Here is a 25083-nt window from a genome sequence, read left to right on the forward strand (position 1 = left end):
AGAAACAAAAACAACAAAAAATCATCTTATATCCTGAGACTTTCTTTAAGGGAATACTCTATCTAGCAATATCCCCACAAAATGAATGAAACCATGAGCCCCGTCTGTAAATATTGAATCCCAATGAAACTAACTCAAATTTGCTATGATGAAGTCTGTGGATATGGGATGACCCTTGCAGACAAGATTACCACAGAGGAAACTGCTGCCTTTCCAGTGCAAAGAGAAGACCTGTGGCCTTGACAGCCTTGGGGTATTTTTTTTCTTTAATTTTTTTTTTTTTAGAGACAGTTTCTCCATGTTGCCCAGGCTTGTCTCGAATTCCTAGACTCCAGCAATCTGTCTGCTTCAGTCTCCCAAAGTGTTGGGATTACAGGTGTGTGCAGCTGCACCTAGCCTATACTTTTCTTTCAATACCTGCTGTGTCCTGTATTGAAGCAGCCCAGTTCCTCCAAAGTCAGGACTACATTGTAAAACTTTGCAAATGAAAATACTTCTTGGCCGGGTGTGGGGGATCATGACTGTAATCCCAGCACTTTGGGAGGCCCAGGTGGGTGGATCACAAGGTCAGGAGTTCGAGACCAGCCTGGCCAACATGGTGAAACCGTGTCTCTACTAAAAATTTAAAAATTAGCTGGGCGTAGTGGCACATGCCTGTAATCCCAGCTACTCAGGAGGCTGAGGTAGGAGAATCGCTTGAACCAAGGAGGGGGAGGTTGCAGTGACCTGAGATTGTTCCATTGCACTCCAGCCTGGGTGACAGAGCAAGACTCCGTCTCAAAAAAAAAAAAAAAGAAAAAAAAGAAAAAAAAAAGGAAAATACTTCTTTTACTGCTTTTGTCTGTGAGTCCATCTTTCACAATCCTGCCCTGCTTTATAAATCTTGTGACATTGGTTTTATTGGAATTAGGATACATTATTCATCCTTAACTATCATTAAGTCTTCCTGAGTTTATACTTCATTCTCTCTGACTGCACTACAGACATCTTGACCCACCAAACCACACTTTGTATTTCTTTGTACATCCCACAGAATCCCGCATGACACTTTATAATAGCAGATGTCAATAAGGGTTTAGCTGACTGATGGTTTGATACATGAGCTCTGTATCTCCATGATTCAGGTGTTTTCCTGAAAACTAATTTTTAAAAGACAAATTGCTCCAGGCCATCATTAATCTTTTCCTGAGATACTTTCATACATTTAGATGCTCTGAAAAAATATGTTGCCCAAATAGCATTTTGTGCCTTTACATTTCTTCAAGTACGTATACCAACATAATCCCTATTAAAATAATCCTTGAAAGTCACTACCTAAACCTACGTATTATTCTAGTTTGTTTCTTCAAATAGCAATTACCAGGTATGGTGTCTCACACCTGTAATCCCAGCACTCTGGGAGGCCGAGGCAGGCACATCGCTTGAGGCCAGTAGTTCGAGACCAGCCTGGCCAACATAGCGAAACCCCGTCTCTACTAAAAATACAAGTGGTATTTGTATTGTATTTTAGTATCTCTACTAAAAATTCCTATTAATTGTATTGTATTGTAGTATCTCTACTAAAAATACAAGTGGCGTGGTGGCGGGCGCCTGTAGTCTCAGCCACTTGGGGAGGTTGAGGTGTGAGAATCACTTGAACTTGGGAGGCAGAGGTTGCAGTGAGCCGAGATCGCATGATTGCAGTCCAGCCTCGGCGACAGAGCAACACTGTCTCAAAAAAAAAAAAAAAAAAAAAAAAAGAAAGAAAGAAAGAAAAGAAAAGAAAAAGAAGGGAAAAGAAACTATACCTACACAACTTAAAAGAGTCAAATCATTCTATGCATCTTATTACAAAACCCAGCATTCCCTGCCACTGCCCACCCCATCGCTCCCTAGATGAAATCCTTTCCATTTATTTAACTGTTTCTTTCGTTTTTTTGTTTTTTGCTTTTTTTTTTTTTTTTTTTTTTGAGACAGAGTCTCACTCTGTCACCAAGGCTGGAGTGCAGTGGCACAATCTCGGCTCACCGCAACCTCCGCCTCCCGAGCTCAAGTGATCCTCCTGCCTCAGCCTCCTGAGTAGCTAGGACTACAAGCACGCACCACCACGCCCGGCTAATTTTTGTATTTTTAGTAGAGATGGGGTTTCACCATGTCGGCCAGGATGGTCTCAATCTCCTGACCTCATGATCCATCCACCTCAGCCTCCCAAAGTGCTGGGATTACAGGCGTGAGTCACCGTACCCGGCCACACCCCGGTTTTTAATCTCACTGTCAAAGCCACGTCCAGAGGTCCCTGAGCCACGTGAGGGTTCTGCAGTGTTTTGTACTTCCGACAACAGTTCAGGGTTCAGCTTTATCATGCCCTGCAAAATCAGCTGCCACTAAGCTACCCACTTCCCAGATTCCAAATGTTACTGCCAACATTACTTCTTGTACAATTAGGCTTTTCAGAAGAGCTCTGTACAGACATTTTGGTGAGGTCCTGGAGAAGAGGAGATCAGTGTATGTTTAGTCCACTACATTTGGCAGCCTTCCATTTCATTCTGTAAAACACCTCTCCCTGCTCAGTCTTGCTTTTCCTCAACACTCATTAGGGTCTCATTCTAACTCTCTCTGCCTTGCTCTTCCTCTACGACCCTAGCTCCAGGTATTGGTTTCTCTCAAGGCCCAGCGCAGATGGCCTCTCCCTGCACTCTTCCTTCCCAGCCCCAGCTCCAGGGTCAACACACCCATTCCCACAGCTGGAATGCCATCCACATGCTGGGGATCCCCAAATTCCCAGTTCTAGCCCCAATCTCTTCTCTGAGAGCCCAACTCACATCCAACCGCCTATGCAACTTCTCCAGTCCGATATCTCACACACATCACTGACTATCCCAACCTAAGCCCACAGTGTTCTTCCAGTCGTTTCCATCTGGGAAGCTGGTACTGCCAATGACCCAGTTGCTCATGCTGGAAATCTAGGAATCGTCCAAGTTTCATCTTTCTTCCTGATCCCACATCCAAGTTATAAACAAGTCACACTGAGTCTAGCTCTAAAATATATTTTAACCCATCCATCATCTCTCTCCAACTCTAGCGATGCCACCCTCAGACCGGGCTGTCTGCCTCTGACCGCTACAACGTCTCTGAACGGGCTTCCTATTTCTGATCTGCCCTCCTCCCATCCTTTCCTCGTAGGAAGGCCACAGTGACCCTCTTAAAACACAACCCAAAGCACACTGCTTACTTCTTATGCCCTTGGAAGCTTACCATTGGACTTGGATACAATTGAAATTCTTTTTGTTTTTTGAGACAGAGTCTCGCTCTGTCACCCAGGCTGGAGTGCAGTGGCGTGATCTTGGCTCACTGCCACCTCTGCCTCCTGGGTTCAAGCGATTCTCCTGCCTCAGCCTCCTGAGTAGCTGGGATTATAGGTGTGCACTAGCACGCCTGGCTAATTTCGTATTTTTAGTAGAGACGGGGTTTCACCATGTTGGCCAGGCTGGTCTCAAACCCCTGGCCTCAAGTGATCTGCCTGACTTGGCCTCCCAAAGTGCTGGGATTACAGGCGTAAGTCACCACGTCCGGCCAAATCCAAATTCTTTACCGCAACTTACAAGCCCCTGCCTGATATAACCCTAAGTTCTCTACACTCTAATTTGATATCACTCTTCTCCCCACTGTACTCCAACCACACCACGCCACCTTCCTTCGCTTGTTCACAACGACAGTCATTTCCCTGGGGCCTGTCCCTCAGTGTGGGATGCTCTTTTCACCACTCTGCACCGATGGCTCCACGGTTCCTTTAAACCTTCAGACCTCAGCTCCTTGGAGGCCTTCTCAACACACCTCAATTCCTCTTCTAAGATTCTCCCTCTCTGTTCTCCCTGCCCCCACATCGTTTCTGTTTGCTTGCGAATATTTATCACAATTTGAAATTACTTAATTTTCCCCCCTACTCAGCTGTAAGCTCCATGGGGGGAAGGAATGTGTGGGCACTGTGCCTAAGAGGAGTCGGACACACAGTGGAATAAATGAAGAAATATCCATCCCTCTCATCCGCGCTGGAGTACTGTATATCAACTACTTCTGTTGCAATAGAAACTGCATCCTGGGCATGCGCCATGGCTCACACCTGTAATCCCAGCACTTTGGGAGGCCGAGGCAGGCAGATCACCTGAGGTCAGGAGTTCGAGACCAGCCTGGCCAACGTGGTAAAACCCCATCTACTAAAAGCACAAAAATTAGCCAGGCATGGTGGCAGGCGCCTGTAGTCTCAGCTACTCGGGAGGCTTAGGGAGGAGAAGTTAGAACCCAGAAGGCAGAGGTTCAGTGAGCTGAGATCACGCCACTGCACTCCAGCCTGGGCAACAAGAGTGAGATTCCATCTCAAAAAAAAAAAAAAAAAAAAAAAAAAATTCATCCTGTTACGAAATGCAAGGGCTTTTCAGATGCTTGGAATAGACTCAAAATGCCTCAGAAATTTCTGCTTAGAAATGAGAAGCTGAAACTTCATTCCAAGTCTGAGGCTGTGGACATATTAAATTACAGGATCTTTCAGACAGTGAAAGGAAGAGAGAGAAATTCATACTCACCGATCCCTTTGTGAGGGTCAGGAGGACAGGAGACAAACTTCAACACTTCAGCTCGCTTCTCTCTCAGACCCCAACGGTAGAGGATTTCCCCATAGCATTTCTTAAAGTCATCAAATTGCTGGGTATTGGCGGGGTCCAGGAGCCTGGATAAAGTTAAAAAGATTTCCTGTCAGTTCCTTTAAGAAAAAACAAGCTTCATCCTAAATGGCACTTAATATACCCTTCTTAAAGCAACAGTCCTGGCCAGGCACGGTGGCTAACACCTGTCACTCCCAGCACTTTGGGAGGCTGAGGCGGGTGGATCACTTGAGGTCAGGAGTTTGAGACCAGCCTGGCCAACATGGTGAAACCCTGTCTGTACTAAAAATACAAAAAATTAGCCAGTCATGGTGGCGTGTGCCTGTAATCCCAGCTACTCAGGAGGCTGAGGCAGGAGAATCACTTGAGCCTGGGAAGCAGAGGTTGCAGAGAGCCGAGATCCCGCCACTGCACTCCAACCTAGTGACCGGGTAAGATTCTGTGTCCAAAAAAAAAAAAAGTAAGAGTTGTGATTGTGGAGAAACTGGAGTCCTGCCTGGAGTCCTGGCATTGCAGCTCTCACCTGGGAGGGTGGTTACCTTTTATTTTTATCATGCTGGTCGCGTTCTCGCTCACGGGGATCACTGTAGGTCAGACTCCCAAAGCGGAGCTCTTCTGGTGAGGATTCTCCCCAAGGGGAGGACAAGTGCTCTGCCTCTCTTCCCGCTGAAGAAAATCAAATGGGAAGGGAAGATGGCAATCAGAGAAGGCATGGAAAATATCTGAAGAGTCTCATAAGACAGCACGTGGCCAATGGATTTCCCAGAAGAAATGTTAAGCGAGGCTGAATATTCTGAGAAATATAACTAAATAGAACTCTCTCCTACCCTTGCCTTTTTGCGCAGGTATTTATTACTAAGAGAACTTGATCACTAAGTACACACACATGATGCTAACGCAAATGATGGGCTGGGCGTTGTGGCTCATGCCTGGAATCCCAGCACTTTTGGAGGCCCAGGCAGGCAGATCACCTGAGGTCAGAGGTTTGAGACCAGCCTGACGAACATAGTGAAATTATGTCTTTACTTAAAAAAATACAAAAATTAGCTGGGCGTACTGGTGCGTGCCTGCAATCCCAGCTACTCAGGAGGCTGAGGCAGGAGAATCGCTCGAACCTGGGAGGCAGAGGGGGCAGTGAGCCGAGATCATGCCATTGCACTCCAGCCTGGCGACAGAGCAAGAGTCCATCTCAAAAAACTAAAAAAAATAAATAAATAAAGCAAATGATGGCACAGAGATACAGTAGAACATTACATAGTCATTATTTACGAGGACTTTTTGAACAATATTTGCTCATGATATAATGAAAAATAGAACACAAAGTCACATATATCAAATGACCACACTCCTGCACACAAAGAATGGATGCAAATGTTCTAGAATGTTAATGGACGCTATTCCTAGGTGGGAGATCAATAATTACAATTTTCTTCTCTAATACTTTTTGCTTGCTTTTCTTCACTGGGCATGAGCTACTTTTGATATCAGGAAAATTAAGATCATTTTAAAAACCTTTTTTTTTTTAAATCCAGGAAACACAAATACACCTTACTCAGCAAACAGCTTTATGATCAACTGGAGTCAGGCCCAGCTGTATTTGTCTACACTGAAAGCATTCATGGGAAGCGGTAGGTGGCAGATGAACATGGAAAGAGCATGTGAAGGAGAAAGGATAAGGGTTAGGTTTTGGGGGTGAACAGTGGGAAGTCCCATTGTCAGTTTCTCAAGGTTAAGAGATGAAAAGCAACACAGCAAGGCACAAAGACCCCCAGAACGTGGTCTGTTCAACATGCAAAGTCAGGCCTCCAGCAAGAGTATCCCTATCACAGTAAATGTAAAGAGAAATAAGAAATAAGAAAAAATATGGAGACTAAGCATCAACTAAAGGTTACATATGCACAGCTCTGGGAGAACTAAAAATCCAGCGTGGGCTAAGTCATTTCCATACAAACCTATGTTCCAGCCGCCAGTGTTGAGCCCTGGGTCTGACATACTGGAGCAGGAACCAGAAGAGGTAAAGCTAGGCTACAGAAGGGAAGAGAAGAACCAACAGGACTAGCATGAGAATACCATTCCCCATGACAGTTCACATTAAGAAAACAGCAGGCCAAGCACGGTGGCTCATGCCTGTAATCCTAGCAGTTTGGGAGGCCAAGGAAGGTGGAACACCTGAGGTCAGGGGTTCGAGACCAGCCTGGCCAACATGGTGAAACCTCATCTCTACTAAAACCACAAAAATATACCAAGAGTGGTGGTGCATGCCTGTAATCCCAGCTATTCAGGAGGCTGAGGCACGAGAATTGCTTGAACCCAGGAGGCGGAGGTTGCAGTGAGCTGAGATCATGCCATTGCACTCCAGCCTGGGCAACAAAGTAAAACTCCGTCTCAAAAAAAAAAAAAAAAAAAAATCAGACAAAACCAGAAAAGGACAAACTTACATATCGACTATGGGACACCACAAGATTAGAAGAACGGTTAGGAAAAGGCCCAAAGGGGTTTGGTAGCCCCTGAGGCCGAGACTGGGCTTCAAACACGCTACAGAGCATCGCCAGTGTCTGAACATCCCGGAGCCGGCAATAGTGAGCCAACCTGAGGAAAAGATAAGAGGAAAGAAAACAAGTCAGGAGGAGGGATTGAGGAGGAAAGCGGTCACAGTCATGGCGTGTTACTGCCACAGGGGTGGGAAGGGAGGAGTCTTGATTCTGCCTCAAAAACCCATCAGGAAATGGGGCTTTCTACAGATCCGGCAGTTTGACCTACTTTGAGTTTGCCTAAACTTGTTTTGGAATATAAGGCATCCACGTACTACAAATGATCTACAGAACGCATCTCAAAGCCTCTGGCTAACTTTCAGGCATGGGCTTAAACATGAATGTGGCTTCTCCAAGAACTAAGTGGACTAACCTGACATCTGAGCGAGCCAATACATGCTCTGTCTTCCCAGCTCCAAGGAAGAATCACACTGCTTTTGGGGGATTCCCACACATGTCATTTATATAACCTAAAGCTACATGAAGGAGCTCAGAGGACACTGGACCGCCACAGCATGCTAGCAGGCAATCGACTCTGGAGGTGCAGTTATGAAGATGAGCTATTAGGTAAGAACAACAAGGAGTGTTTCTGTCCTTTAGGTACTCATATCCCCTTTGTCCTTTCAGGAAGATTATGCTAGAATGTGAGTAAGGAATCAGAGGGGCTTTGCCTTTAAGAATGAATAATATTAATGTCCTCCTATCACTCAATGTCTAATATTTGTGTTTTCACACTCACTATCTTATTTGAGTCTTACACGAAATAAGTAGAGTAAACCTTATCATCCCTGTGTTAGTGACAAGGAAACGGAAGCACGAACACGTGTCCCAGGGGTGGCCTTAATGCATAAATTAAGCAAACTTCAACTTGAAGTCAGGAGCGTTTCTCTCCCCAGGCCCTGGGCCTCCAAGTTATGGAGATTCAAGTGGTTTTACTTGGTGTTAAATTATTTTGTATAGTATACCCTAGTTTTCCATATGTCAGTGCAATAAACTGAACGCAAAGGCAATGTTTTCTCAAATTGCCTAACAGGGTGAAAGCGTCGTGGTCTTTGGCAAACATGAACACCAACATGCAATTCTCTAATCCATTCTCAAGGGTGAGACCCTAGAGCTTTCAAGAAGAAACTTACCATCTCATGAGCTCAAACTCCTGTATTCAGACTGATGTGATTTATGGACTAAAGCATGAATCTCTAAAGGATACATGAGTCTCAGGGGTCTCAAATCCTTGTTATAAATGACAAGTAATGTATGGTTCTGTCTGCTATAAGAAGTTTGTTCTGCACAGAAATTATTTCAGCACTGAAAGGAAAGATCCTACTCCTTCCTTTCATTCCTCGGGCCTCTGCACCTTTCTCTTAGGTGGTGACATTTCAAGTGTTTACAGACCAAAAATGGACATCACTCATTTTTCTCATTTTTAGCTCTCAAAACCTACAGGGACTCCAGCAGCTGCCGCCCAAATGGATGTCGAGCCCAGGGTGTTTCCAAATCTGGGTCAGATTTCGGACCAAGGCAAAGATCTGTAGCTACCGTAGCCAGCGACCAAACCTGGACAGATCAAAGAGAAATACAAACTCAAACTGGCAAGGACAAGAACCGAAACCATGAAGCAATCCCACCTGTCTTCCATATAAAACCTGATGCCTTGCTACATTGGGGGCAGCAAAAGCTGGATCCTTATTGAAATGCATAAGTTTAGGCCCCACTTAGACCTACTGAATCAGCGTTTACACTTTAACCAACTCTTTAGGGGAGTTATGTGCACTCTAAAGTTTGAGAAACACTAGGCTTAAAAATTTTTCATTAAGCAAACATCAGAGAAATGACACAGTGTAATAATTTCAGTGGGTCATCTACTTAACCACTAACTCATATGACTTTTTATTTTATTTTACTTTTTTGAGACAGAGTCTCGCTCTGTCGCCCAGGCTGGAGTGCCGTGGCACAATCACAGCTCACTGCCACCTCTGCCTCCTGGGTTCAAGCCATCCTCCTGCCTCAGCCTCCCGAGTATCTAGGATCACAGGCATGTGCCACCACACCTGGCTAATTTTTGTATTTTCAGTAGAGATGGGGTTTTGCCATGTTGGCCAGGCTGGTCTGGAACTCCTGGACTCAAGTGATCCACCTGCCTCAGCCCCAAAAAGTGCTGGGATTACAGGTGTGAGCCACTGCACCCGGCCTCACATGACTTTTTAAAATGCTGTTTCATCAGTAAGTTGGGTTGGCAGGGAGGAAAAAAAAGGCAGTCTATAACACATTTAAGATCTGTCCCTCTTTTCCTAAATAATGAAAGACTTTGTTGCCTTCATTATAAAAGTTTCAGTATCCTCTCTGAAGCTAAAAAGTAACAATAATAACAATAGGCCAAGACAAAATGGATTTGGCTTTCTTTTTGTTGACACCAAATCTGAGGAATACCTCCCCGACTTGAAATCCCATGGGGCCTGGAGCCATTGAGCAGAAACCAATAGCCTCTAAGTGTCTATTAAGTCCAAGGCACAGGCTAAACCCATCATGTCATAAGCAAAGTTCCCACCCCCTCAATACCTTTAAAAATCAAATACGGCGGGCCCTGTGGCTCACGCCTGTAATCTCAGCACTTTGGGAGGCTGAGGTGGGCGAATCACCAGGTCAGGAGTACGAGACCAGCCTGGCCAATATGGTGAAACCCTGTCTCTACTAAAGATACAAAAATTAGCTGGGCATGGTGGCACACGCCTGTAGTCCCAGCTACTTGGGAGGCTGAGGCAGAAGAATCTCTTGAACCTGGGAGGCAGAGGTTGCAGTGAGCCGAGATCACGCCCTGCACTCCAGCCTGGGCGACAGAGCGAGACTCTGTCTCAAAAAAAAAAAAAAAAAAAAATCAAATACTATTTTCTGGAAAACCTTTCTCAGTAGCAGCACAGCATTGTATGCCCATTAACTGGAAAACATACTAGACTCTGAGATGCTCAAAAGAAAGAAGATATGGACTTTGAATCAAGGAGTTTACAATCTAAGGAGAAAGAATAAGCAAACAAAGATACTGAGAAACAGGTCGAGAAGCATTAGGCATGCAAAATCAATTAAATCACGTGGCACCAACATACTTGAAAAATATACAGAAGGTATTGTCGAAAAGGAGAAACTTGAAGTTCACATTCATCTCTATAATCAATAACCTAGTGAATCAGCACTAGAGGAAGTTAATGACTTTCTGGGATGAGATAAGATGTTTACTACCCTGGCTGACAATTTAGACGTGTTATTTCCTCACTGATAATACACATTTCCTGAATGCCTTCAACAGAAACAGTGACTCTTGCATTTACTTCTGCAACTCTTTGCAAAACAGTAAACATATCTTCAACATGAGCATAAAGAACAAAAAGACTGGGTGTGGTGGCTCACGCCTGTAATCCCAACACTTTGGGAGGCCAAGGCAGAAGGATCACTTGAGGCCAGGAGTTCAAGACTAGCCTGGCCAACATGGTGAAACCCCATCTCTACTAAAAAGTACAAAAATTAGCCGGGTTTGGTGGCACGCATCTATAATCCCCGCTACTCGGGAGGCTGAGGCAGGAGAATCGCTTGAACCCGGGAGGCGGAGGTTGTGGTGAGCTGAGATCGTGCCACTGCACTCTAGCCTGGGCGACAGAGTGAAACTCCATCAAAAAAAACAAAAACAAAAACAAACCACTGAATGGTGTATTTTAAATGGGCAAATTGCATGGTAGATGGGCTATATCTCAGTTAAGCCGTTTAAAAAAATACAGAGATAATTTGTTATAATACACTGATATGTTGCTGCAAAGATGAAGAAAATTTAAATATTTGTCATGTTAAATCATATTTTAAAACTGAACATCTCTATCTAAAGGAGCACTTTGGTAAATATTTCATAAAATGAAGCATTTTAGAAAGAAGGAACAAATGACAAAGAAATAGACATGCAAGTTTAGCTACACAGCAATCACTGATACTGGAACAGAAAAGAGATGTATAATTAAAAAAATTCATCGATGCTTTAGGACCTTCCCAACTGAGCACCAAAAAGAAAAAATTTCCAGCATTTGGAAAGCCACTCTAACCCTACAGACTGGCAAAGAAAATGGAAAATGAATTCCAAATTAAGACACACACTTTGAAAATGTCATTAAATGCCAATGACAAAGTAAAAACAATTTGCTCCTGAAGAAAAATCCAAATCTCCACCAAAAGGGATGGACAATACCTGGACAAGATCCTTTCTTCCAACGAGCAAGGCAGAGGCGGCATTCTTCTGACATGTTTCCTGAATATCATTCACATTCAATCTGAAATTTTTTAAAAAGAATTAAACATTTCTTTCTAGTGTAACTTCCCAAATCAACGACTCCCAGTTTAACAGACAGATGAGAACCTGACTCTTTGGTTATCACTCAAAATGTTTTATTCCGCGTTGGCCTTGGGCCCCCTTTCTATCTGACTCAGAGGAAAAGCTTAACTAGAGCTGAAGCTAATACATCTGTGGGTTCCAGCCTGGGGAACTTGAAATTGCACACCTCTTTAAAGTCAGGAGGGCAGGCCATACTCAAATACCAATTTACCAACCAGCTTTTCTATGGAGTTCCCAAGCCGTGAGGGTTGAATAAAAATGAATTGAAATACATGCGACACTGACTATGGTTCCTAACAGAAAGAGTAGTGTGCTGTGTGTAGACTACAAAGGAAACACTTTCTGTTATGAGTTCGAGTTTAGGAAGAGGCAGGGGAACTACAGGTGGCCTCTGCATGCCAATTACTCACCTCTCACTTCCATCCAAACAAAAGTAGCCCTGCTTTGCATAACAGCTCTTCTGCTTTGTAAAGTAGCATGCCTTGTACAATACTCCACCCCCTTTGAATGTGGGTGACACCAGTGAATATTGATGGGATATCACTTCTGTGATTATGTTATTAAGCAATTGACTTTGAAGTCACCTACAGAGAGACTATCCTGGGTGGGGCTGACCTCATCAGGTGAGGCCTTAGAGGGAAGGTAAAGCATGTGTGAGCCATTCCTGCTGGTCTCAAGACGAAATTTACAGATGAGTTCTACAGCTGCAAGGGTCTGAATTCTGCTGACAACCTGAACAAGCTTGGAAGAGGAGCTTTGCATCGGATGAGACCACTGCCTGGCCAACACCATTTCAGCCTGCTGAGACCCTAAGCAAGGACACAGAAAAGCTGTGTCCAGACTCGCGACCCACAAAAACTGGAAGATAAGAAATGAATGTTGTTGGAAGCTGCTAAGTTTGTGGGAATTTGTCCACAGCAACAGAAAGCTAATACATTGGGCTTTTCCTAAAACTGCTTTTGAAGAAAGGATTCCCACACTCAAAAAAAAAAAAAGTTTTGCTAATCCTGGCTAAATGATGAGTGCAGCAGACTTGAAATTTTGTACTTACATGTACAGCTCTCCCAGCGATTTGTGAACAGGCAGGAGGCAAGCAATATCCTGGATGATGACTTTCCCAGCAGCCTTGATCTGTCGATTGCCAGAGTCTGATCCCTCACGCTTACTTTTCCATCGTCTTGATTTCTAGGGGTAGATGACAGGATGTAACTAATGGGGACTTTGACAAGTGGAAACCAACAATTGCAGAGCTCATCATATTGGGGTCATTGGCAATTTGCACTTTTTAAAAATTACATCATGCCCACAATTATGGGAATCAGCATCTGTAGGAAATAAAAGGATGAGCTCTTGTTCCAAAAATCCTAACAGGAAAATAAGCACCTACTGCCAGGCTAGATACATTCTGCAGGTGCTCAAAAACACATATCAGGAAGCCAGGATTAATACATTAATTAATGAATTTGAAAACAGCAAGTAAATAAGTTAGTAAAGGCCACAAAAATGTGGGAGAACAATTTTTAGATTGAATTCAGTCCTAGGTTCAAAATTCCTGCCTGAAACTCATCAAAATTTTTTTCCTTAGGCAGTTTGAACAGGGTTTGTTGAAAATTTATTGCAGACATAGCAGTGTGGGCTCTGCAAACCTTAATCTATATGGTAGGAAAACAGAGAAACTTTGCACCTTGAGGAGAATTACCCCGTTTTTCTGGCAGACTTGAATTATTTCTAAAAGTGATCGTTCTCAATGTCAAAAATACCTGATTCAAGGGGCTTGGGTAACAGACATGGAAGATTGTGGGCAAGTATTCGATTTCCCCAGGCTTACCTATGGGTGGCTACATGTGTGAGGAGCCTGTATGTGTGAAATGAGAGATGTCCTGAAAAACTTGAATTATCAGAGCACAGCCCCATCTGGAATCTTTAAAATGACAAACCAAGGAGCAGGATTCCATTTTATTGCCAGAAGTTAAAAAGGGGGTCACCAAAGTGATTCAACTAAGGAAGGAGTGACATATTTATTAACAAAAAAAGGCAAAAGGAGCTAGTAAAAAGGCCTCCAATTTGGAATTAGAAAATCAAGATTTCCAGGTCTTACTACTACATGTACTGGCTCAGCAGGACCCTCGGCAAGTTTTTATTTGTTATGAATTTAGTCTAAGGCATGTGACTTTGTTTGCTCACTGACAACTTATGGCCAATCATGACCTCTGTTGTTCCAATCTCACAAGATTAATGAGCGTACAATGAAGAGGCAGGGGTGCAAATTAAATGGAAAAGTGTACTCTAGAAACATGTAACTATTATGAATGTATATAAACTCTCAGGAATTTAAATTGGACCATTATTTAGATTACTCACAAATAAATTCATTTTCTGTAAGTGATTTTTATACAATCATTCTTCCATAAAGGGTTTCTGACCACTGATATCCCATTTAATACCTAAAGTTGTCCAATGCATGTAACTTCCTATAGGGTTATCATGTGTCTTGGAACCTACTAAATTCAGGACATGTGGAGTTAGTTCAGGGCAGGTAAATGAAGAAGTTTAGCTGAAGTATCTGTGAACTGTTTATCATCATTTGTAAATGCATGTTACACTATCAATTTGGAACTTTAACCCGTTTGATCTTTTTATTTTTTTTTCTTTTGAGACAGAGTCTTGCTCTGTTGCTGAGGCTGGAGTGCAGTGGTGTGATCTTGGCTCACTGAAATCTCCGCCTCCGGGGTTCAAGTGATTCTCCTGCCTCAGCCTCCCGAGTAGCTGGGATTACAGGCATGCACCATCATACTCAGCTAATTTTTGTATTTTTAGTAGAGACAGGGTTTCACCATATTGGCCAGGCTGGTCTTGAACTCCTGACCTCAAGTGATTCACCCACCTTGGCCTCCCAAAATGCTAAGATTACAGGCATGAGCCACCACGCCCGGCCCCATTTGATCTTAAGAAGCAGTTCAGTGACTATTTACCATTTATCCATACCCAAGTCATTATTCTGCAATACAAGGGGAAGCTTTATCAATTATTATGGGGTAGCCCTTCCATTCCTACTTGCCCTGGTTTTCTAAAAAATTATGTGCATACACACAAAAGTGCTATCCTTTTAGACACAATCATCCTGACATGGGTGTAAGTAAGGGGAGGATACGTTAAAGAGCAAATAACCTGTCAGAATGGGCTGGAGCCAGGCAGTGTTACTGACCTAAGACAGACGTAGTCACATGTGCACTAAATACTATGGCAGGGCCTGTTTTAGGGAGGGTCATTTAGCCTATGTCTACCCTGCAGTGACAGTGAACAGCACAAGGGGCTTAACGAGAACAGGGAAATTACAAGGTACACAAGCTCATTCACTGTGATTTTCATTCAGGTTTCCAGGACTTTAAAAAGCCCAGGAAACAACACACCCACAGGCCCCACATAACTGGTCATCTCAAGTGAGACTCAGGGCACTGGATTAAAAAAAAAAAATCTATGCCAGAAAGATTCCACCTAGAATGGAATATGATCCATCTAATTTGGTCTTCTGGATAGGGTGGAAGGCTTCTAAAACACCGATCCAGGCAGTCACTCTGGTTCTTTATTCCAAAAAGAGAATGAGAAGCACTTAAACAATTGAGCAATTCACTATCGTTCAGTTTAACTACACAGCTGAATTGAAGGCCTCAATGAAGGATGAGGTCTACTAGCTTACAGAACACACTGAAAATAACCATGGGCCAAGTGCAGTGGCTCACACCTGTAATCCCACTCTTTGGGAGGCCAAGGCAGGCAGATCACCTGAGGCCAGGAGTTCGAGACCAGCCCGGCCCTGGCCCACATGGTGAAACCCTGTCTATACAAAATATACAAAAATTAGCAGGGCATGGGGGCGTGGACCTGTGGTCCCAGCTATTCGGGAGGCTGAGGCAGGAGAATTGCTTGAACCCGGGAGGCAGAAGTTGCAGTGAGCTGAGGTCGCGCCCCTGCACTCCAGCCTGGGCAACAGAGCAAGACCCTGCCTAAAAAAAAAAAAAAAATTCACAATTTCCTGACCTTTAAAACAAACCTAATAAAAGCATATTATTAATTAAGATTCATATGCCCAAAGCAGTTCATTTGCAAAACAGACTAGCCCATTTGAAATTGACAAATGACACAAGTCCAAGTATACAAATGTTTGACTGAGGACTTACAGTATCAGCTCCTGCTCCTGGATTGCTCATTCTGTGCTAGTATAAGCCTCACTTACGACAGCTCTGTGATGAGGGATACTACTTCCACTTTACAGATGAGGACATGAGGCTTACTCTAGGTCACAGCCATCAGCGCTGAGATTTGAACACAGGCCTGTCAGGCTGCTAAGCTCATTCTTGTTAACTTGATTTTCAGTATATAATTTTATATTAAAAACTAATAAATAAATTCTAAGCTCCCTGTTAATATGGAAATTGCTTGGTCCATTTTTTAATGGATCCATTTCTGCATGAAGGAGATTGGCACTGGATTCCAGCGATGCCTGTCCAGCTCCACCCTTCTACGATGACTCACTTCTTTAGTCACTTTCTGTCAGCATCGTGACTCTGTTCTGCTCAGCCCAAGTGTCTACTGAAGATCTGCAGTTCCTGCAGCTACATGGCTTCATAGCGGGGCAGGCCAGATTCAGACCAAGATGCTGCATTTCAGGCCGGGCACCTCACAGTGTTTAGGCTTTGGGGTTTGTTAGGATTAGGCACATTCAGACAGAAGAAAACTAAGAGTCTAAAGAGATGTCTTAGGGACTCTTCCCCCATTTGCAGCTTTGGGTTACAAAGATCGGTAGAAACAAACCTACGTGACCCATCCATACTTGATGCAAATATAGACAGTGGTCTTTGCAACTTTTTGCAATGATTCTTCAATGAATTATGAAAATCACAGTCTGTGTTTCCTGGGACTTCTTGAGACACCAGGCTTCTAGGTCCTTCTGTTTGATCCGTATTGGATGGATAAGAGGTGCTTTATGAAACCTCACTCAGCTGCCTTTAAGCCTGCCATAAGGGAGGTTCCCCAACAAAGGATCACCCTAATTAGAGTTGCTACCGGAACCAAACTGTAAAAGCAATTACGGGACAGTGCTGTAAATTTTTTTAATCCAGCAAGAAATAACTGCAAAACATTGTCAAAAATCTCTAAGGGGCTGCAAAATACTGTCACTGTCGGTTTTTTATAATGTGTTGGTTAGTGGTTTTTAAACATAAATATCTCCCCTTCAGGCTTCAGGGGTCACTTGGTAATCCTGCCTGCTGGCCAATTACTCTGGGGATTCTAATTTAACGAGGCTGTCTAGCTGGAGAGGTGAAATCTCAAATCAGGTCAGATACTAGTTGGGGTCTTAGGCCTTTGCTGCTAGCTAATGAGTAGATGGACATCTTTTCAGGGTATTTTCCCCAGTGCTCTGGCAATAAGAACCACTCATGTTCCATCCACTTCTCTCCTAAGAAATTTTCCCCTTAATATCTTGCTGGCAATGTTTGGAGTCTCTCTTGTCTCTGCAACTGCCAGGTAATAACATATGGATTTCTTTTATGATCCTCTGGTTCCAGAGCATACTGACACATGAGGCTAAGGTGTGGTTGATCTTTCTGCACTGGGGAAGGGCGCCATGGTCTAAAAGCCCCTGATCCTCCTGCATTGCTCCAGTCCCACTCTGACGGGCTTAAATATGGATACCTCTCTATGCAGTAAAGTTAGTACCTCTGGGAGGAAAAGGATTTGATCCTTTCAATGCTCCATCAATAGAAAATGTCCTGTCCCCACAGATTTCATGAGAAGAAATTGAGGGAAAAGAGACAAAGCAAGACAGACAAATTATTACATGATGAGCACCAGGCTGCCCCTCTGAACAAACCAAGAAGGTGTTCATGGAGTTATGGCAAAGAGGACAAGGAAGAACGGAGTGGGGTGGGGGTTGGGGGGCAGGAGGGAGGCATTGGTGCAAATAGCACTGAATGACAACCAATAGCCAGCTTGCGACTGTACCACCAGTGTTACTGCTACGATCAGAGGCAACATTGATGCCAATAAATGGGTTGAATGTAAAAGCAGCCCAAGAATAAGCCACCAACTGCTTCGCAGAAACCCCATTAGCAATGCATAATCCGCAGAGCGGGCAGGGAGTCTAAATGAGTCCCTATTTAAATAGCAGTGGGAGCAGGGACTTTTGGACAATCAGTGGAAATTCAGCAGTCGGGTTGGCTGGGACAGGCTTTTGGAAGGTGGCCCCGTTGGTGGCTCCACCTACAAGTTGTTGGCAGCAGTGGTACTTGCTAATCGGGGCTTCTGATTCCAACTGGTTTTCTATGACAAGGCTATAGGATGATTCCCCTGAATATTCTTTATACCAAATGAAATTTATACAAAGCCTCACGGCTGCCTTGCACAGCGTGAGGTCACCTTGGCACTACTGAAACATGAAGGGATGGGAGAGGAAGACAGAAGAGGGGAAATGGCCAATAGGAGTAAGAAAGAAAGAAAAGGAAAAGAGGATGTCCACAGCGGAGGTTTTACTGTCTACACAAAATATTGATGGTAAGGAAAAAAATTTGTTTCAGAAACTTCCCAAAGGATAAAAGCTAGCTTCCGTGTTATGCCAATGAAGCAGGTGGGCACCTCCCTCTGTGAACTAGACCAGGACTGTAAAAGCAGAGACAAAATAGTGGAAGCCTCTTATATCTTCCTCTGCTCCCCCCATGCCAAAGGTAGGCTTTTGAAAGCTCCAAAAAATTACACAAATGCTCCAAGTGAAATTGGGTAAGCTAACGGCTTACAATCAGGGTTCTTTCCAAGAAACCCAGCATTAACTTTCCTTTGCCAAAAGAGTCCATTCAGGATCCCTGACAATATTAGCCATTTGAAACTCTGTGATTGGACAAGGAGGCAGCCCTTGGTGTCTGAACTCCCCCAAGCAAAAAATTGACTGTTGCTGGTCCTGAAAACAGCTCGCCTGTCATTTCAGGTTCCTCAAAGCCAGGCAGGTGGCATTTTATTCTTGGGCCTCGGGTAGAGACAGGATTAGTTAAGGAGAGCATTTGCACAGCGCACAGTACCGGGAAGTCGTTAATTGCTTGTATGGACCAACGCCGCCGGGCAGAGCGAGGAGACATCTGTGCATGAAAACGTTACACCCAGGAGGAGGGAAGAAAAACACCAAGAAAATTAAAAGGGAAAAATATAGAATAAAATGAAAGCTTCCCACACATCCGATGGATTCCAATGTACCATAATACACTGTACAGTTGGGATGGGAACGACTAAAAAATCTGAACCTAAGCACAGCGGAATTCGGCTTCCCTCACCTCCCTCCCACCCCATCACACTCCAAACACAGCTTCAATTTCATTGTTCTTTTAGTCACATTTCAAGGTATATGGAGGCTGACATCAACACAGTTCTGACAAAGGAACTACAAATAGGTTTGAGGAACACTAACACACACTGAGATCATTGTGCAAGTGGAGAAATAGGCAGAAGCCTGTTTTCCCCTGTAGGAGGTAAGAAGGAGAACATATATTGAGAGCACATACTCATTCCTAAAAAGAAGACATTCTTGAATAGGCTCAATACCAAATTTTTTCTGGTAAGTGTTTGGGGGGTGATGAGGGAATTGGGTGTCTTGACATTGGGCCTGCAGGACTATCTTCAGAGTGACACCATGGGGAAATGGGAACCCTGGAGAAACGGGGGGAAGGAAGGGGCTAATGCTGAGGAGAGACCTTCTTGAAAGCACCTTTGCTAACAATATGAGTATCTGTTTACGGAGATCAGAAATTATTCTATTAACTTAAAGATCTCTCTAGTTATTTACATGAGAGCTATTTTAGTAACATAAACTAAAGCAAGAGTGGGAGGTTGCAACAATGTTTAAATGTATGCAAGGCAATACCTAAAGCTTATCCTAAGTTCTGGGCCTTCTGATCTACCCTAGGAATGAACAACATTTCATCAGCTATTAAGAGTCGGTTCACTTGTCAAATGAATGTTAGCAATTTGATGGCTTTTGAGGCGTCACACGTTTTAAAATTTTTAGGAGCAAAGCTTGGCATTCCATCTAGAGAATATTTGGGTGAACATAACAATATAACCTAAGTAGGGCAGGTTAAAAACACACAAAGCCACAAGAGAAACAAACAATAATCTCTAAATGGCTCTAAAAGATGTTTTGTTATCTCAAAAATACACTACACTGGGCCGGGTGCAGTGGCTCACGCCTGTAATCCCAACACTTTGGGTGGCCAAGGCAGGTGGATCACCTGAGGTCAGGAGTTCGAGACCAGCGTGGCCAACATGGTGAAACCATGATTAGCCGGGCATGGTGTTGGGCACCTGTAATCCCAGCTACTTGGGAGGCTAAGGCAGGAGAATCGCTTGAACCCGGAGGCAGAGGATGCAGTGAGCAGAGACCGCGCCTTTGCACTCCAGCCTGGGCAACAAGAGCAAAATGCTGTCTCAAAACAAAAAACAAAAAAACTCTATACTGGCTGGGTGAGATGGCTCATGGCTACAATCCCAGCACTCTGGGAGGCTGAGGTGGGAGGACTGCAAGAGCCCAGGAGTTTGAGACCAGCCTGGGCAACATAGCAAGACCTCATCTCTACAAAACACAGACCAAAAAAAGCCCCCAAACCAAAAACCCACTATACTTCCCTCATTGCTATGCCTTAAGGCAGTTACATTCCATTCTGTTACTCTCACTCATTTAAAGCTCTCAGGGGCAGAGATCTACCATGGAATAAAAATATGTAGGAGAAAAATTTGGGCTAAAAATGAAGACCTAAACACAGAGAAATCCAGCCTGGGCAACATAGCGGGACCCCAGCTCTATAAAAATATTTGTTTTTAATTAACTGGGTGATGTGGTGTACTCTTGTAGTTCTAGCTACTCAGGAGGCGGCTGAGGTGGAAGGATCACTCGAGCCCAGGAGTCTGAGGTTGCAGTGAGCCATGTTCACACCACTGCACTCTAGCCTGGGCAATGGGCAACAGAGTGAGGCCCCATCTCTTAAAAAAAAAAAAAAAAATTCCAAAACCACAAAACACAAACAGAAATTTAGTAGACTGGAATCATTTCCAGAACAAAAGCAACAAAAGTGACATCATTTGACATGTGAAACTAGGCAGCTGAGGATTAGAAAATGCTCCTCAAGGATTATCGACCTTTGTAAGGGAGGTAAAGCAGCCCACGTAAGATATCATGGCCATATCACGCTTATGTAATTCCCCCCTTGGCCCCTACATAAACGGGATGGATGTGAACAAACTTCAAGGAGAGAGAAATTTATGTCAAATTCATCACAAAATGACTGACTTATTCATTTTTATCTTGTTAACCTATTAAGTTGAACCACATGAATCTTTGTTTAGGTCAAAAATGGTCAAATATCAGCAATTTCGTATGATTTAAGCCAATAATCCAAGGTTTCTGAGGTTCCTGAAATGTTCTATTTCTTGACCTGTGTGATTATTAATTCACTGAACTATACACAACTTTGATTTGTGAACTTTTGTGTATTTGGTATATATCAATATAAGAGTTTCATATGAAATTATAATCAAAGCATCACCCCAGTTTATTTGGTCACTATTTGAAATAAAACATAAAAGGCCACTTACTATGTCTATTACGGGGCTCGAACCACCCACTTTCTGTGCAGAACAGAACACTGGGAACCACCCCAAATTGAAATTTCACAACTCTTCTCCACTCCCCTGCAGATACTATCAGATATTCTCTGATGAGAGAATTATCCACGTGCTCTTGGTTCCTCTTTATAATTACGGTGTTTGTAGTAAAAAAGGCCATACCATCAAAAACATGGACACAGGCTTAAAAGAGGCCTCATCTTGGAACTGGAGTTATTTTGATTAGAGTGGGCTTTACACACCCCCACAAAGTGAAAATTACGAGTCAATCTATTCTGCCCAATCTGAACCCAAGCATGGGTGGCACACGACACAAATCGGAGAGGAATTCAGAACTGCCTCTTGGATTGAAAGACCTCCTTGACCTGGCCCTGACACTAAAGAAAACCCCACATGTACCCAACCATGAGCCTGGCTTTCATCTCAACAAAATGTCTTAGTTCCAACCTGTTTATCAAATCATCTCTCCAGTTACCTGCAAACATGTGGGAAAAAAGAACCAACAATTTTGAATGGAAAGGACTTGGAAATGATATAGATTAGTGGGTGTTCCAAGGAGGTCTGTACTAGCCAAGTGGGCAGAATTCCATCAGAGATGTGAGGAAGGGGACTATAGGAAAGTGTCCAGAAAAAAAAAAAAAATCATTTTCCCTATTCAACTAAATGGTTTTGCTCAAGACTGGTCTGGTCTCAAACACCAGTTGCTGCCACTCATTTTAGTCACATACAACCCTAAAATAAAGTCAGAGATGGTCAACTCTCAGTGTAAACCAAGAAGGTTGGACATTCTACTGCAATCGAACTGAAGGAACTTCTAATACTTCCTAGAAATGGGTGTTTTGTCCAAAATAATTCAATTTTTTAAAAACAAATATTAATTACAATCCATTATTTCCCACTGAGCGAGAGATAACAACAAAGAATTCCTAAGGACTGAGTTTGTGCAGTGCTCAGTGGTAACTCTGTTTAAAACATCATGTCAGCTAGAAGTCTGTTTAAGCCAGACCTGCAATCTGTCAACACAGAAAGCTTTCTCTGCCAACTTTCTCTACATGGTTGGCACCAAGGGTTTCTGACAGCTTAATGATAACTACTTTAGGGACAATGAGTTATTTAAGAAACTAGGCACATAAGGACAAGCTCAGGTGATTTTTGTATCATCTGGTCCACTCAGATAGGTATTTCCATGTAGACTTAGTATAAAAAAAAAAACAAAAAACCTTTCAGACATTAACTTTAAGACTTCTCACAACCATCAAGTTCCAAATATATTGAGATCCCAAGACTCCAGAGGCATTCCTTAATTTGCTGAGAAACATCAGAATACCATGGAAGACTTGAAGCTAAGGTATTCTACCCTGAAATAATGGGAATCAACTCAGGGAGTGGAGATTACGAGTGGAGATTACAAGGACAAGGCTAAATGGGGAGTAAAGATTACGGACCATAAGAACGGCCCCCTGACCCATACACACACAATTTATAGCAGGTAAAACCAACTGAAAGGAACAAAGTAATGACTTTCTTGAACAAACTGATTACGAAAGTGAAAGGCTACAGGGTGATTACTAATCTAGCTGCTGCGCCAGGCAGGAGATGAGGAACAAGAATCCAGGAGAAGGGGTAAGAATCAAAGGCTACGGCTCTGGCACTTACCCGCTCCTTGTAGTAGAAGGAGCTGATGGAGACCTGCTCTTTCTCGCTGCGAGTGGGGCTCCCACTGTATAAACGAAGGTTCCCAGGGGCCTCTGTGCGGATCTTCATGGGCGCGATCAAGCCAGTGTGATAAGCAGACAAGGCTGAGAGAGATCTGTAGTTGAAAATGATAATTATCCACACTGGCTGCAGTCCTGTCATATTTCCAAGTGGTGCTATTCTTAGCACTTGATACCAAAAGGAGAAGACAAAATGAGAAGATGGAAACTCCAGAAAAAGAAGTCAATAAAACTTTTAACACTGAAAAATGCTTTATCTGCACAAGCATAGAATGCTTCTATGATTACAGACATAAAAAATTCAAAGGAATCTACAAACTACTAGAATAAGTGAATTTGAATACAAGGTCAACCTACAAATATCTACTATAGTTCTATCAATTAGAAACAAATATTTGGAAAATAAATATTTTAAAAGCTCATTTATAGTAGCATTAAAACACGTCAAATACCTAGGAATAAATTTAATTTTTGAAAATGTGCGTGAAAATACAAAATGCTGATGAGAGAAATTAAAGGAGACATACAACGATGGAGAAATATACCACGCAAGGATTGGAAGAGTCCATATTCTTAAGACATCAATTTTCTCTAAATTGATCTACAGAGTCAACACAATTCCAATCAAAATACAAGCAGGCTTTTTAGTAGGAACTAATAAGTTGATTTTATAATTTTATTGAAAGACCTAGAACAGCCAACCTGAACTAAACAAGAATAATATAATTGGAGGACTTGACCTATCAGATTTAAACACTTAACTATAGAAAAGTACATTATGAATGTAGTGTTGGCATAAAGGATAAATAGATCAAAGGAAAAAAGAGAGTCCAGAAAGACCACAAATATATGGTCTATTGATGTTCACCAAGGCATCAATACAAATTCAACAAAGAAAGGAAATCTTTTCATAAATGGTGCTAGAACAACTATTTTTCTCTACAAAATAAAACGAACTTTGACCCCTTAACTCACATTACATGCAAAAATTAATTTGAAATGGATCACAGACCTCAAATAAGGAATTTAAATCTATAAAGCTTTCATTTTTATTTATTTTTCTATAAAGCTTTTAAAAGAAAACACAAGGCCAGGTGCGGTGGCTCACGCCTATAATCCCAGCACTTTGGGAGGCCAAGGCGGGCAGATTACCTGAGGTCGGGAGTTCAAGACCAGCCTGACCAACGTGGAGAAACCCCATCACTACTAAAAATACAAAATTAGCCAGGCGTGGTGGCGCATGCCTATAATCCCAGCTACTCGGGAGGTTGAGGCAGGAGAATCACTTGAACCCGGGAGGCGGAGGTTGTGGTGAGCTGAGATTGCGCCATTGCACTCCAGCCTGGGCAACAAGAGCGAAACTCCGTCTCAAAAAATAAAAAATAAAATAAATAGGCCGGGCACGGTGGCTCACGCTCGTAATCCCAGCACTTTGGAAGGCTGAGGCAGGCAGATCACGAGGTCAGGAAATCGAGACCATCCTGGCTAACATGGTGAAACCCCGTCTCTATTAAAAAATACAAAAAATTAGCCAGGCGTGGTGGCGGGCGCCTGTAGTCCCAGCTACTCGGGAGGCTGAGGCAGAAGAATGGCATCAACCTGAGAGGTGGAGCTTGCAGTGAGCCAAGATTGCACCACTGCACTCCAGCCTGGGCAACAGAGCGAGATTCTGACTCAAAAAATAATAATAATAAATAAAAAATAAAAAAATAAAATAAAATAAATAAAATTAAAAAGTGATAAACTGGACATCATCAAAATTAGGACAATTTGTTCATTGAAAAACATTAAAGAGGGAGAAAGACAAGCCACAGATGAAGAGAAAATCAATACATACATCTAGCAAAGAATTTGCAACCAAAATAGATAACAACCAGAAACAAATAAGATACAGTTCCCCCAAAATGGGCAAAATACTTAACAAGCACATCACAAAAAAAGATACCCAAATGGTCAATATGCACACAGAAGCTGCTCGACATCATTCATCATCAACATGGAAATGCAAATTAAAACCACAGTGAGACGGCCGGGCGCGGTGGCTCACGCCTGTAATCCCAGCACTTTGGGAGGCCGAGGCAGGCAGATCACGAGGTCAGCAGATCGAGACCATCCTGGCTAACACGGTGAAACATGGTCTCTACTAAAAATACAAAAAATTAGCCGGGCGT

The 25083-nt window shown here is 43.1% G+C and overlaps 1 protein-coding gene across 12 annotated transcripts in view; it reads right to left on the reverse strand.

The window, feature by feature from the left end:
• The window catches only part of WDR59 (WD repeat domain 59), a 113762-nt gene that overhangs the window by 9732 nt on the left and 78947 nt on the right, over positions 1 to 25083 (reverse strand). For 7 of the 12 annotated variants that reach the window (XM_047434640.1, XM_047434638.1, XM_005256146.4 and 4 more), the window contains 9 exons: positions 22854 to 23007; positions 18605 to 18661; positions 12586 to 12719; positions 11391 to 11472; positions 8610 to 8722; positions 7076 to 7226; positions 6590 to 6662; positions 5177 to 5303; positions 4560 to 4702 (listed from right to left, as the gene is read on the reverse strand). In XM_047434640.1, coding sequence (XP_047290596.1) covers positions 4560 to 4702; positions 5177 to 5303; positions 6590 to 6662; positions 7076 to 7226; positions 8610 to 8722; positions 11391 to 11472; positions 12586 to 12719; positions 18605 to 18661; positions 22854 to 23007 — 1034 coding nt within the window. Of the gene's footprint in view, positions 1 to 4559; positions 4703 to 5176; positions 5304 to 6589; positions 6663 to 7075; positions 7227 to 8609; positions 8723 to 11390; positions 11473 to 12585; positions 12720 to 18604; positions 18662 to 22853; positions 23008 to 25083 lie in introns of those variants that run through there. The other 5 variants (XM_047434642.1, XM_047434639.1, NM_030581.4 and 2 more) reach the window with 2 other exon arrangements.

This window comes from Homo sapiens, chromosome 16 (genome assembly GCF_000001405.40).
Source record: "Homo sapiens chromosome 16, GRCh38.p14 Primary Assembly".
Classification (NCBI taxonomy): domain Eukaryota; kingdom Metazoa; phylum Chordata; class Mammalia; order Primates; family Hominidae; genus Homo; species Homo sapiens.